Source organism: Homo sapiens, chromosome 12 (genome assembly GCF_000001405.40).
Source record: "Homo sapiens chromosome 12, GRCh38.p14 Primary Assembly".
In the NCBI taxonomy this organism is placed as follows: Eukaryota; Metazoa; Chordata; class Mammalia; order Primates; family Hominidae; genus Homo; species Homo sapiens.
This window is the reverse complement of record NC_000012.12, coordinates 130821231-130835981: the sequence shown is the minus strand read 5'-3', so window position 1 is coordinate 130835981 and position 14751 is coordinate 130821231. Positions and strand designations below refer to the sequence as shown.

Here is a 14751-nt window from a genome sequence, read left to right as displayed (position 1 = left end):
ATGAAGTTTCTTTTCTTAGCTGCTGATGCTTGTTCCTGTGAAGAACGTGCCTCTGACAGTTACGTGGACAGGGCTTAAAGAGTAATCTGCTCAATACAATCTGTACTGACAGATGTAGTTTCTAACCAGTGATGCTGTTTTTGAGCAACCAGTCATTTGGGCATAGAAAGTTTGCGTGACTTGGTCCAGATCTCTGACACTCTAAATCCAGAAAGATATTTCTGATTTACAGAAAGTAAAAGACTCGCCCATCCAGCAGGTACTTGAATGTCAGGCCTCTAGCAGATCATGTGCTGGGTGCAGAGAGACACAGCAGTGAACTGAGCGTGGGTGGGGATGCATGCAGCCTGGGAAGGAAGAGTGACCGAGGTGTAATGAAATTCACTGTAGGACGTAAGCAAAATGGAATAGCTATTCTATAAGATAACCACCCCAAACGTATTTTGATTACTTTTTAAAAAAAGTTTATGAACATTGATGTATTTATATTTGATACATATATATGATATATCTATTTATTATAGTGAAGAATAGAGAAACCACACATTTCATCTGTGGGAATTGTTTGCATGATAATAAACAATAAATACACAGTAGCTGTGTGGTGTTCTTAGTAGACCTAAAAGAAATGAGAACGTTATTTTTCATCCTGGTTTCAAGGTGATGAATTGCAAATCTCTTTTTTTTTTCTTTGAGACAGGATCTCACTGTGTCGCCCAGGCTGGAGTGCAGGGGCACGATCATTACTCATTGCACCCTTGACCTCCCAGGCGCAAGCCATCCTCCCGCCTCAGCTTCCTGAGTAGCTAGGACCACAGGCGCGTGCCGCTGCACCCAGCAAACTTCTGTATTTTTTATAGAGATGGGGTTGCGCTGTGTTGCCCAGGCTGGTCTTCAACTCTTGAGCTCAAGCAATCTGCCCACCTTAGGCTCCCAAAGTGCTGGGATTTCAGGCGTGAGCCACCGTGCCTGGCCTGCAAATATAATTTCTTAAAGGGCGGAAAACACTGCTCAGATATTTTTAAAAGTTATTTTTTGACAGCTCATGTTTGTCCACGTAGTGCAGAATGTTGTATAGTGAAGATGCAGGTTCCAATTCATAAAATAAGAAGATTAAAAAACTTCACTGGAACTTAAAATACTAAGAGTTTAATATATGAACATAATTTTATATATGCATATATTTATAGTTTAGAATGTCATAACTTATGCAATCCTGCCAAATTTTTATATTTTGTGTGTTCTCATACAAACAGTTCCTACAGTTGGAGTCTATAGTTTCTCTATTCTTAATTATAATAGGTTTACTCATTTGTATATCTAAACATGTCCTTTAGTTTGAAGAGCAAAATCTATATGTTTTTACAGATTAATCACTTCTTGTTTTTAACTTGAGGTCTATTCTGAATTTAAGGAGTAGCAACTGTAAGAAATAACTGATCCATAGAAGAGCTCCCTAGGAGCCCAGATCTATCGCCTTGTGGTGGCAGGATTTGCTCCTGCCTCCGGACTGATACGCCCCTCCTCCCTGCCCTTGCAGGTGCTGCTCCCTTTGTCTGAACCACTGGACTTCTCCCTCTGCGCCTTCTCTCTTGCCTTGTACCTTTTTTTTTTTTTTTTTTTTTGAGACAGAGTGTCGCTTTCTTGCCCAGGGTGGAGTGCAATGGTGCAATCTCAGTTCACTGCATCCTCCGCCTCTAGGGTTCAAGGAATTCTCCCGCCTCAGCCTCCCATGACACCCAGCTGATTTTTGTATTTTTAGTAGAAGTGGAGTTTCACCACATTGGCCAGGCTGGTCTCGAACTCCCGACCTCAGGTGATCCACCCGCCTCGGCCTCCCAAAGTGCTGGGATTACAGGCGTGAGCCACCACATGTAGCCTTGCACCTTTTTTAGTCTCAGGTTAGGCATCACTGGGAAGCCTTCCTGCCTCCCTTTCCTCGCATGTTCCCACAGATGGCCCATCTTGTCTTGGGGCATTCTGGACACAGATGCAGTCCTGTTTTTTCCTGCACCCTTCCCCCAGTGCTTCAGCCTTTTCAGGACAGATGCATACTGTCATTTGTGCTCTGAAGCCTCAGTATTCTGCATGGTGCCTGATCCAGAGCACCTGCCAGGTATTTATTGAATCAGTCTGTTTCCATTTGAAAATGCCCATGGTAAGAAAAATGTAGATGCCACTGGAATCTGTTGTCTTCAAGGCCTTTTGGTTAAAAGGGACAGAAACCCATCAGCTAAAGCAGAAAAGGGAGATTTATTAAAAGGCAGAATGGGCTGGGTGGGGTGGCTCACGCCTGTAATCCCACTACTTTGGGAGTCCAAGGTGGAAGGATCACTTGAGGTCAGGAGTTCTAGATCAGCCTGGCCAACAGGGGGAAACCTCGTCTCTACTAAAGATGCAAAAATTAATTGGGGGTGGTGGTAGGTGCCTGTAATCTCTGCTATTTGGGAAGCTGAGGTGAGAGAATAGCTGGAACCTGGGAAGTGGAGGTTGCAGTAAGCCAAGATCCTGCCACTGCACTCTAGCCTGGCTAACAGAGTGGGAATCCATCTCAAAAAAAAAAAAAAAAAAGGTAGAGTGATTTCTCCCAGGCTTTGAGGGCACGTAGTACCATCAGCCCTCATGAGGGATGGAGTTAGGACGGAGCGAGCCACTGAGGTCCTTCCTGTCCTTGTGTCGTGGCCGTTTTGTGCTTGCGGGGTCTTAGTCTGTGTGTGTGTCTCTGTTTCCGTTTGTTGACGTTTGTCATTTGTGTGTACTTTCCCACTCTCCTCCCCCTTGTCTGTGTCTGCCCTTCTCTTGCTCTTCATTCATTCATTCACTCGTTTGTTGACCTGGTCATCACTGACTGGCGGCTGGGTGCCAGGCACTGCTGTGGGCAGAATGCCTGGGTTGTGAAAAGACAGAAGTCCTTGCTCTTGTGGAACCTGCAGCTGGGAGATAGACAGCAGCTGAGCAGATGAATCAAGTGTCTTTCGCAATCCTTGCTGTGAAGGAATAAGCAGGGCGAGGGTGTGGGTGTGGCTGCCTTGGCCGGGTGGGTCAGGGGGCCACCCCGTGAGCTGAGCTGTGGATAAGAAAGCGGCTGTGGACAGGGCTGGGGGAGGGTGCCCTGGGTAGAAGGCACAGCAAGTCCAGAGGCCCAGAGTTGGGAACGAAGTCATGCAAGGGACAGAAAGATGCTGTCGGTAGTGAGTGGATGGTCAGCAGTGGGCGGAGGTGAGACGTGAGTGAGCTGAGGAGGTTGGCTGGAGCGAGATCCTGAGGGTTTCTCTTCGTCTCCACGGCCTGGTGTAAGGGGCTGCCCCCGCCCCCAAGTTTAAATGCTCTCTAGTTCACGCTCTCTAGGCTTCATCATGTCAGTTCTGATCCTCATTCCTGGGGCGAGATCATGTGGTGGGCCCTTGGTAGCTCAAGATTAGCCTGGCAGTGTCTCATGTCCATGTGCCATGCTGGGGGCATCCAATTTATTGCAAGTGCTTTGGAGAGCAATTTGGCATTGTTTAGTGAAGCTGAAGACGCTTAAACCCCATGGCTCGGTGGTCCTCTCTCTGCATGTGTGTGTATGTTCCAGAAAACCATCCTGACATGCATGTGCAGCCTTGTAACTGTGGTTCGTTATATTGTTGGTAATGGAAAAATATTAGGCACAATAGGAGCCTGGATGGCTACCTCATGGCTGTTTATATAATGGAGTGTATGCAGCAGTAAGATGAATGTATGAGGTTGAACCATATGGTGTGGTTTCACCTAACACTAGAGCAATATATGCTGAGTGGAGAAATATGAATGTATAGCTGAGAGGAAAAAAAAAAATGATTAAATTGCAGAGGCAGGCCGGGTGTAGTCGCTCATGCCTGTAATACCAGCACGTGGGGAGACCAAGGTGGGAGGATTGGTTGGGCCAAGAAGTTCAAGGCCAGCCTGGGCCACATGGCCAGACCTCATCTCTAAAAAAATATGTGTGCCTGTAGTCCCAGTTACTCAGGAGGCTGAGGCAAAGGGATCACCTGAGCCCAGGAGGTTGAAGCTGTTGTGAACTGTGATCACGCTACTGCACTCCAGCCTGGGTGACAGAGCAAGACCCTGATTCCAAAAAAAAAAAAAAAAAAAAATTGCAGAAGTGTAATACTATTTACATAAAGTCTAAATGCCTGTTAAAAAGTATTTATATAATAATAATGGAAACAAGTGTTAGTAAAAATACAAAAAAATAAAAAAGTATAACATTTTATTATAGGTATAAAAGTGTAATTCACCATACAAAATATGAGAAAGTAGGTTACGTTTAGCACCATATTTACAAACTGGCCCAGAGTCAGCATTTACATATTTATTTATTTGTTTTTTGAGACAAAGTCCCTCTCTATCGCCAGGCTGGAGTGGCACCATCACTGCTCACTACAGCCTCAGTCTCCTGGCTCAAGGGATCCTCACAAGTGTGAGCCACCACGCCTGGCTAATTTTTGTATTTTTTGTACCAAAAATGGGGTATCACCATGTTGCCCAGGCTGGTCTCAAACTCTGGAGCTTAAGTGATCCTCCCAGTTAAGCCTCCCAAAGTGCTGGGATTACAGGCATGAGCTGCCGCACCCGGCCAGCTTTTACCTATGTTTAATTACAAGTATTCTTTTCTTTTTTTACCCAAGTGATTTAATTGTGAAAAGTAAGTCAAAGTATTCTAGCAACAAAGTACTAAAACCACTGTGTATATGTCAAGGTTTATAATTTATTTGCCCACAATTATTATTTGTATGGAAGGTCCTTAGCATGTGTGTGTGAACAACAGGCAGAAGAAAGCCAGGATTCTGTCCAGCTTTGGATTCTGCCATTTGTGGTAGTTCAGCTTCTATTGAATTATAAATGATGATCGTTCCAATGGCAAATTACTCTTCTCTGTTAAATAGTCTCTAAACCAGGAAGCTACCTGCTACCTGTTTCTGACAATAGTATTCACACAGGGAGAGTTGTGATTTTACTATAATGCTACTTTTAAGGAGACTTCTGTTAACATTTAACCGAAATGGAATGTTGATATTTAAATGTTTATCCTGTACTTCGACACTTGGGAAATCAAGTATGTCATATAGAGAGTATTCCCTGGCTTTTAGTAAATGTTTGCCACTAGCAGTTTGGTTATTTACAATAAATACCCTCTCATAATCATGGCTGTTGTACAGCTGTTGCACTATCTCAGCCTGAAAGACTGAACATGGACATTCATTGAAGACAAGAATAATGTAGCTTAGGGATAAAGCCAAAAAGATTGCTTTGGTCATTTTGTTTTGTTTTGTTTTTTTGAATGGAAAAGCAAAGACAGTATTATTGGGTCTGTTTCCTGTTATCTAATCAGTTTTGAGACTTCCAGGTAGAAATAAGACATATAAGTCAAGGCTTAAGAATAAGAAATAAGACAATAGAGGAAACATATTCCAGTCATGTGGATCTTTCCTGGTCTACAGGGAGAGAAACAAATTGTTTACCAGCAAGCGAATGACTTGGAACAAAAATCCGCCCGTGCCGTGGGTTCAGAGTGGAGGAGGATTGACGCCACGCCACTGTGGGGGGTGCATCGCGCAGCATGGGACGGTCACCATGGGAGAGGAGGGTTGAGCCTCTGGTTGTTTACGCCACGCCACTGTGGGGGGTGCATCACACAGCATGGGACGGTCACCATGGGAAAGCAGCTTGCTTTCACAGGGAAGCGTGGCGCTGGGGAGCATTGAGATGGGTGCAGCCTCTTTCCTGGAGCTGCAGGTGCAGCCTCCACAGTAGCATCTGCCTCATGGGATTTGCCTCACGATGGTCTTGTGGTGTGGGGGGTAGGAAGTAGTGGGAAGTGGTGGGTGTCCACCTGAAACAAGACAGGCTGTGGCTTGACCATTGTTGAGCCTGGGTGATGGCGACACTGAGGGCTCACCATAGTATTCCTTCTACTTTTGTATATGTTTACAGTTTCCCAAACAAACAAAAATGAGGTGACTTTGAATCTAGAACCTAAAGTTCCTGGCAGAGCAGGGAGGTGTGAGATGCCCTGAGAGCCATGTGGCACCTCCAGGGTGGGGTGAAGCACTTTTATGGCCCGGGGCTCAGGGCCACAAGGGCCGTCTGCAGCTCACTTTCAGCTCTCCACCCCTCCTCCCCACCCCCTCCATGGGTATTTGGGTGAATGCACAGTCAGTCAATGACTTAAAGCGGTGATGCTTCACTCCATCATTCCTGGCCCTGCGCCTCTGAGACCGCACAGCTGAGAAGACAAGGCAGATAGCCATAGGGAAGCAGTGAGACCCCGTGCCCAGCTAGTGGGATTTAATGCCCAAGTGAGCACTTGGAGACAGGGAGGGAGCAGGCTGTGGGCCCGAGAGGCGGGGCTGGCACGCACAGGGGAGTAGATCCTCTTTCTAAGAGAGGGGGTCCCCCGCAAGGGGAGTCTGTGGGACCTGGCCACCTGGCCTGCATGGCTGGTGGGGCTCCGCAGCACAGCTCCTCCCCGCATCCCATCTTCCCCCAGGGTAGAGTGTGCTTGTTAGAGCAGGGTGTGTGGAATCACAGTCACAGGCCGTTTTCTGCTCTGCCGTCCCTGCGAGTGATCCCTGCACTGTGTTTCAGCCTCCTCACTGGCAACATGGGGACCATAAAATTAATGAGAACATGTGTGTAGAGTATTTCAAATTGCCAACTCTTGTGAGCTGGAAGTAAAGGACGGCTCTTACTCTTTTTAAGAGGGTCAACATGGTAATAGTACAGTTGTTAAGATGGGAAGTTTTGTAAAGTCAGACCTGGCGTCAGCTACTGGTTCGGCACCGCTTAGCTCTGAGACCATAACCATTGAGCATGTGTTCTACTCTGAAATAGCGATGCCAGCACCTGCCTCATGGTGGGGACTAGGGGGTGTGGTACCAGGAAGATTGACAGATAACGCACCTGGTCTGACTCCTGCAGACCCTGGGAACCGACACTCAATATCCTTCAGCCATTCTGTTTTGGTTTTTGGAGTGGTGTGGGATCCTGGAGAAGAGTGTTAAACTATGTGGGTCTATCTTAATGTTAGTTTCTGCTGCTTGTCGGTTGATTGCCATTTTGTCTTTTCTTTTCTTTTCTTTTTTTTTTTTTTGAGACAGAGTCTTGCTCTGTCACCCAGGCTGGAGTGCAGTGGCGCGATCTCGGCTCACTGCAAGCTCCACCTCCCGGGTTCATGCCATTTTCCTGCCTCAGCCTCCCGAGTAGCTGGGACTACAGGTGCCCACTACTGCGCCCGGCTAATTTTTTTTGTATTTTTAGTAGAGACAGGGTTTCACCGTGTTAGCCAGGATGGTCTCAATCTCCTGATCTCGTGATCCACCCGCCTCGGCCTCCCAAAGTTCTGGGATTACAGGTGTGAGCCACCGCGCCCGGCCCATTTTGTCTTGAAGTGCTGCTTTGCTTAGAATTACGAGTGTACAGGCTGGGCGAAGTGGCTCATGCCTGTAATCCCAGCAATTTGGGAGGGTGAGGCGGGCGGATTGCATGAGCTCAGGAGTTCGAAACCAGCCTGGCCAACATGGTGAAATCCTGTCTCTACTAAAAATACAAAAAAAAAAAAAAAAAAAAGCCGGGTGTGGTGGCAGGTGCATGTAATCCTAGCTATTCAGGAGGTTGGGGCATAAGCATTACTTGAACCCAGAAGGCGGAGGTTGCAGTGAGCCGAGATCCTGCCACTGCACACTCCACACTCCAGCCTGGGCGACAGAGTGAGACTTTGTTTCCAAAAAAAAAGAGTAGGGACTAGAAATAATTTTATTAATAGAAGCCTTTATTGGTTTATATATTAATATTACCCATGAAAGTAGTGTTACCTTATAAAACACTGATAAATATCTTATCCTTAGGGTCTTCTGATGGAGATGGGACAATACTATCTCTATTTCATGGACAAGAGGCAGAGACTGAGACAAGCTAATGGGCTGCTGGGGAGGAGGCTGGAGCCCAGGTCTTCAGCTCCTGATCAATGGTCGTTCTTCTGGGTGGTGCTGGGGTTTGCTTTGTTTTGTTTTGTTTTTAGAGACAGGGTCACTGCAGCCCCAACCTGCCAGGTTCAGGTAGTCCTCCCACCTCAGCCTCCTAAGTAGCTGGGACCACAGGCATGGGCCACTAGGCCCAGCTAAACCTGCCAGGTTCAGGTAGTCCTCCCACCTCAGCCTCCTAAGTAGCTGGGACCACAGGCATGGGCCACTAGGCCCAGCTAATTTTTTGTAGAGACAGGTTTTCACCATGTTGCCCAGGCCGGTCTTGAATTCCTGGACTTAAGCATTCTGCCCCCCTCAGCCTCCTAAAGTGCTGGGATTACAGGCGTGAGCCACTGCGGCTGGCCAGTGTTTTTACTGTTTATGGAAAATATGCAACACCAGCAGTTTCACTTCTTGAGGGTAAAACTGGCCTGTGTTATATTGACTTACATAGTGAGAACTAAATGATTCTAAGCAGCTTAGTTCTGAGAAAGCCACCCCTTGTTTCTCTCCAGGTCTTCCACCTTCTGGCTGCTTCAGCCAGGATCTGTTGTGTTGAAAATGTTGCGGAGTTCAGTTGGAGTAGATAGTGGTGGCTGCTAGTCTGTTACAATTTGGTGCTGTAGTGAGTTGAGATCTTGTGGGTATTGAACTGTTTTTGTATTTCAGTTCGCTATTTGTGCCTACATAAAAATTTTAAAAAACTGAATTTTCCATTTTTCATTGTAGTGTAGGAAGAATGATGATGGAGACACAGTTGTTGTGGTTGAGAAAGATCATTTCATGGATGATTTCTTCCATCAGGTAAGAGCGTTTAATGAAACCCAATCATAGCCTGCCTACCTGTCCTCCCTCCCTCCCCCCACCCCTCCCTCCTTTCTTCCCTCCCTCTCCCTTTCCTCCCCTCCCCTCCCCACCCCTCCCTCCCTCCCTTCCTTTCTTCCTCCCTTCTTTCTTTTTCTTTTTCCTTTTCTTTTTCTTGTTTTTGGAGACAGAGTCTTGCTCTGTTGCCCAGGCTGGAGTGCAGTGGCACAATCTCGGCTCACTGCAACCTCTGCCTCCCAGGTTCAAGTGATTCTCTTGCGTCAGCCTCCCAAGTAGCTGGGACCACAGGTGTGTGCCACCACACCCAGCTAATTCTTTTTTTTTTGCACTTTTAGTAGAGACGGGGTTTCACCATGTTGCCTAGGCTGGTTTCAAACTCCTGAGCTCAGGCAATCCGCCCGCCTCAGCTTCCCAAAGTGCTAGGATGACAGGTGTGAGCCCTTGTGCCTGGTGGCTTTCTTCTTTAAAGATTTATATCAATATGATTGTGCATTTATCATATTTGAAATAATACTTAAGCTAATATTTTTAAAAGTTGTTGTTTGAATTACGTAAGTTCTCTGGAATTTTTAGTATGATCACAATGTTAATAATGAGAAAAATGCAAATCATCGTTCTAATGCAGTCCGGGAGGGAACTGGGTGTGGATGGTGGAGCTGTGCACGTGGCCTCCGCGTGGGTTGGGGCCGGGCCTGCAGCGCCCTCTGCTGGTGGGCGGCCACTTCTCCCACCCGGTGCTGGCTGCTGCAGGAGCACCGCCTCCTTGCAGGCTGCCTTTTGGAGGTCCTGCGGCGCCCCTTAAGAGAGTTTTACAAAGGCCTTCCTGCAAGACTGGCAGTGTCTCAGAACGAGGCCTCCTTGGTTCTTCAGGAAGTGGTGGTTCCGGCAGCAGAGGTGGCGCCTGGCTGTGGGGGCAGGGGTCAGGTGTGCGTGGCTCCCACCAGCACTGCCATCCGTCCACTGGTGGGTGTGAGTCCTGAGGCAAGTGCCTAGAGCAGAGGGCTCAGGGTCTGAAATCGGTGACAGATCAGCTGTATATGAGCTCAGGTAGAAGACTCAGAGGAAAGTCACAGGTGACCCAGTGGCTGATATTTTAAAATGTGGCGGCCTGGCGGTGCTGGGATCCTATCTGAGGTGTGAGGCCTCCCCCTCCTGCTTATCTCCCCAGCTCAGCTCTTGGGCTTAGGCCCTGCTGAAATTCTCAAACCTAAGAATTATCTGATCTAATGTTGCTTAATTTCAAATTTTTGAAATTGAGTCACAGAACAAATATATTGACCTTGTAAAACATGAAGAAACGAAAACACACGTCCAGTGGGTTTTTTAATGACGGAACCTTCATTGCAGGACTCGTCTTGATTATGCTGAGTCTCATGGGATAGTTTCACTCAGCAGCCTCATCTGGCCTAGCAGTGCCTGGATTTGAACATTTTAATAGGTTTATAAAAGCATATGGAAAGTTACTAGTTTTTCAGATTCAGCCAGAATTTCTTGAATATCTCACGTAAGCCTAGTCACTGGTTTTCTAGTATTTGTTAGTTGCTACTGTTATTTAAAGGAAAAAACCATGAGATTAAATTGTTAGCTACAAGGAACTTCCTTTAAGGTATGAAGGAGTTAAGATGCTGGGATTTCCTGATTTCACTTCTTGGAAATGAGACTTTTTAAATTGTCTTTAGCCTTCCTGCCCCCTTTGTCAAATTACTATTTTTCTGATTTTATTCCTTTTACTTGGTTGCTTAACTCTTCCATGTAAGTTCTTTGTAAAAATGTATTTATTTTAAAGAATCTCCTGCCATTAAGTGTTGCATTTAATAGAAAAGTCACATAGTGCAGGCCGGGCCCAGTGGCTCATGCCTGTGCTCCCAGCACTTTGGGAGTCCGAGGTGGGTGGATCACCTGAGGTCAGGAGTTCCAGACCAGCCAGGCCAATGTGCCAAAACCCTGTCTCTACTAAAAATACAAAAATTAGCCAGGCATGATGGCAAGTGCCTGTAATCCCAGCTGCTTGGGAGGCTGTGGTGGGAGAATCGCTGGAACCTGGGAGGCGGAGGTTGCAGTGAGCTGAGATTGTGCCACTGCACCCCGGCTTGGGGCAACAGCTTGGGCGACAAAAAAAAAAAAAAAAAAGAACAGAAAAGTTACATTGTGCAATTCACTGAGTGCCATTAAGCTGTGGTCTTTGTCTATCTGGTGCCAGTCTGTCTTTGCTGCTGGCGTCTCAGGGGCATGTGGGAAACAGGTTACTCGTACTTTAGGAAGGCTTGCCCGGTGCTTGCCTCATTGGGTTCTAACTTAAGCTCAAGCTTTCATTTGTTAAATAGTCAATTTATTTTGCACTTAATTTCTGTGAAATGACTTCCTAGACAAATACAGAAGCAAATAATGTTTGGTAATATAAACTCATTCTGATCTTCAATATCACATAGAAGTTTGCAAGAGAAATGAATTTCACATGGTGAGTGTTTGGTTAACACTAAAACAGTGCTCTGAAGGGTGGCCAGGGAGTCTTGTTTCTGTGAAGATGATTTATAATGGAGCCAAAGGACCCCTGTGCTATGTTATTCCCGGACATAAAATGGTAGCTGGCACCATTCTCTCTCAGTGCCTGTCTAGGTACAGGGTGTATAGCCCTGCGGTCTCCTGTTCCTCTGGAGCCATACGGGGGCTTGGAGTTAGCAGCGGTGTATATTGCAGAACTCTCCAAGAGTTAAAATAATGTTTTTTTCTTTTACTTTCTAACATATGTGTATTACTTTAGAAATGGTAATTTTTCTTTCTTTTTTTGAGACGGAGCCTCGCTCTGTCACCCAGGGTAGAGTGCAGTGGTGTGATCTTGGCTCACTGCAGCCTCCTCCTTCTGGGTTCAAGCAATTCTCTTGTCAGCCTCCTGAGTAGCTGGTGCTACAGGCACACCACCACGCCCGGCTAATTTTGTATTTTTAGTAGAGACGGCATTTTGCCACGCTGGCCAGGCTGGTTTTGAACTTTTGACCTCAAGTGATCTGCCCGCCTTGGCCTCCCAAAATGCTGGGATTACAGGGGTGAGCCACTGCTCCTGGCCTGCATGATTCTTTAATACTTAGACTTTTCAAATCTGGTCCGGGGCTTGGGTTAGGAGTCCCTGGGGTCCCTAAGACCCTTTCAAGAGGATTCTGTGGTCAAAGCTCTTTTCAAAGTAATACTAAGATGATCATTGCCATTTTCATTGTCTTATGACTGCACAATGATGGAGTTTCTCAGAGCCAACACACCAAACCCAGAAATATCTGTGATGATCAGGGTGCTGTCTATTAAGCTGGACATTAGATTTACAAAAAGTGCAAATCACTGCCTCTGTTTCCACCGATTTTTTGGAGATCTATTTTTCACAGAAATGTGTTATTTATGTTGATCCGTGTGTCAGTTTCCTGCTGCTGCTGTAACAAAATCACCGCAATCACTGTGCTTCAACAACACGTTTATCACCTCCTCCTAGTTCCAGGGCCTGGAGAAGCTCAGATGCTGGCAGGGCAGAGCCGCAAGCCTCCTGGAGCTGCCTTCCTCTCCATCTTCCGCAGGCGGCCTGTGTTCTTGGGTTTCCTCCCTCTTGAAAGCCATCACTCCAGCTGCTGTTTTCACAATCAAGTGTCCTTCTTCCAACGTTGGCTCCCTTGCCTCGTCTTATAAGGAATCCTGTGGTTACGTTGGGCCCACCCAGATAATCCAGGGTAGTCTCCCATCTCAAGACTCAATTTGATCACATCTGCAAAGTTCCCTTTGCTATGCAAGGTGACATATTCACAGGCTCTGGGATTAGGGTGTGGATTGTGCCACAACATGTAATGGTTAATAATTACTTCTTCCTTTTTTTGTTTTTAAGAGCAGGGTCTTGCTCTGTTGCCCAGGCTGTAGTGTAGTGGTGCAGTCACAGCTCACTACAGCCTCAACTTCCTGGGCCCAAGTGATCTTCCTGCCTCAGCCTCCTGAGTGGCTGGGACTGCAGGCATGCACCATTGTGCCCGGCTAATTTTCTTTTTTTTTAAAGTTTTTGTAGAGATGGGGGTCTCTCTATGTTGCCCAGGCTAGTCTTGAACTCTTGGCCACAAGTGATCCTTCTGCCTTGGCTCCCAAAGTGCTGGGATTACAGGCATGAGCCACTGTGCCTGGCCTATAATTACTATTTTAAAATGAGGAAGGAGGTAGGAGCTGGCAGCAGAGCATCTTGCTCCAGGGCTCACCTTGCTGCTTCTGTAGCTGGATCTCCATCTACTGCTGTCTTCTAAGAACACTTGCGACTTTAACCCATTTATGCGTAGTGTTCCATTATTGGAACGCTAAGCTTTTGCGAGTTATTTATATCCTACTGCTCAGGGTCATCACCAAGGTCTGATTTTTCACACACACACATTGCAGCCTCTGGCATAAATGGGTTAATGAGGACCAAACTGGAGAATTCAGGATCATTTCCCGTCTCCAGATCCTTAGTTTCGTCACATCTGCAAAGTATCTTTTGCCCTATAAGGTAACTCCCAGGCCCAGGGATCAGGACCTGAACATCTTTGGGGTCATTATTCAGCCTGCCGTAGAGGTTTTTGAAGATAATGTTATGACTCCATCTAGATAAATCTTGCTAATGATATGTTACATTTTGAAACAAATATTGAATTTAAACATTTAGAGGTCAAAGATAATAATTATGAAGCCTTGGCTGTATGAGCTATAGATACCTCCTCCCATAAGAGTATTATTATTATTATTTTCTTCTTTTTTTTTTGAGACAGAGTCTTGCTCTGTTGCCCACGCTGGAGTGCAGTGGTGTGATCTTGGTTCACTGCAACCTCTGCCTCCCGATTCAAGCGATTCTTGAGCCTCAGCTTCCTGAGTAGCTGGGATCACAGGTGTGTGCCACCTCACTTGGCTAATTTTTGTACGTTTAGTAGAGAAGAGGTTTCTCTATGTTGGCCAGGCTGGTCCTGAACTCCTGGCCTCAAGTGATCCGCCTGCCTTGGCCTCCCACAGTGCTGGGATTACAGGTGTGAGCCACTGTGCCTGCATGTTTTATGGGCTTACTTCCTGGTTATACTGAGAATGGGTATTAGTAGTAGTATGCTTCTAATTGGCCCCATCTGTGTCATGCTTGGGACTTGACTAGAAATTTTTACAACCTGATAGGTTTTCCCGGTGAATGTTGATTGGTACTGCTTTAGGTATGAAGGTAGAAATATTCATAGGATATATCTTTATTTTTTAAATTTAACGATACCAGTGTGAGAATGGGAGAGGCTTTTATTTCTTATGTGGTAATTATTTATTTCCCTCCTTTATTCTTCCCCTTTTAGGGGATGAAAAGTGGTCACAGATTTGAGTTTGCCATGCTGTAATGACTCTCTCTCTCTCCTAGGTGGAGGAGATTAGAAACAGTATTGATAAAATAACTCAATATGTTGAAGAAGTAAAGAAAAACCACAGCATCATTCTTTCTGCACCAAACCCGGAAGGAAGTAAGTTGTTGGTTTTCACAACAAAACGTTTGTCTGTCTGTGTGTCCCTCTGGCTGTCTGCGGCACAGGCCTCAACTCTGGCCTCACGGGAGATTCAGGGGAGTTTGTATGAAATGCTGACACCCTAGAGAGTCTGAGGCGTTTGGCCTGGGGCGAGCCAGGGCATCTGTATGTTTTTTTTTTCTTAAAGCTGCCTGTATGATTCTAGTGGTCAGCCAGGGTGAGGCCCACTGATGGATCATGTCCTAAAGAATACACGAAAGTGGCTTCACAGAACTTAGGGGCCAAGATTAGACCACAGTTCAGCAAGACAGCATTTTCTGTTCAGAGGGCAGTGAATCAGGGATTGATTTGGAAAACAGTACTTGTAAGAGCAGAGTGAAATAGGAAGACGCACTGAGGCGACTCTGAAAGTCTTGAGGAGCTTTTGTATGGACTGTGCTGCGCTCAGTGGCTGT

The 14751-nt window shown here is 46.3% G+C and overlaps 1 protein-coding gene across 19 annotated transcripts in view; it reads left to right on the top strand.

Annotated features, from left to right (window-relative positions):
• Positions 1-14751, top strand: part of STX2 (syntaxin 2) — a 49651-nt gene that overhangs the window by 3269 nt on the left and 31631 nt on the right. For 12 of the 19 annotated variants that reach the window (NR_182217.1, NR_182216.1, NM_001351049.2 and 9 more), the window contains exons 2-3: positions 8715-8789; positions 14194-14293. Coding sequence is in view for 15 of the 19 variants with exons in the window: in NM_001351049.2 (NP_001337978.2) it covers positions 8715-8789; positions 14194-14293 (175 nt within the window). In the remaining 4 variants the exon portion in view is untranslated. Of the gene's footprint in view, positions 1-1839; positions 2117-8451; positions 8626-8714; positions 8790-14193; positions 14294-14751 lie in introns of those variants that run through there. The other 7 variants (XM_017018989.2, XM_017018981.3, XM_047428491.1 and 4 more) reach the window with 7 other exon arrangements.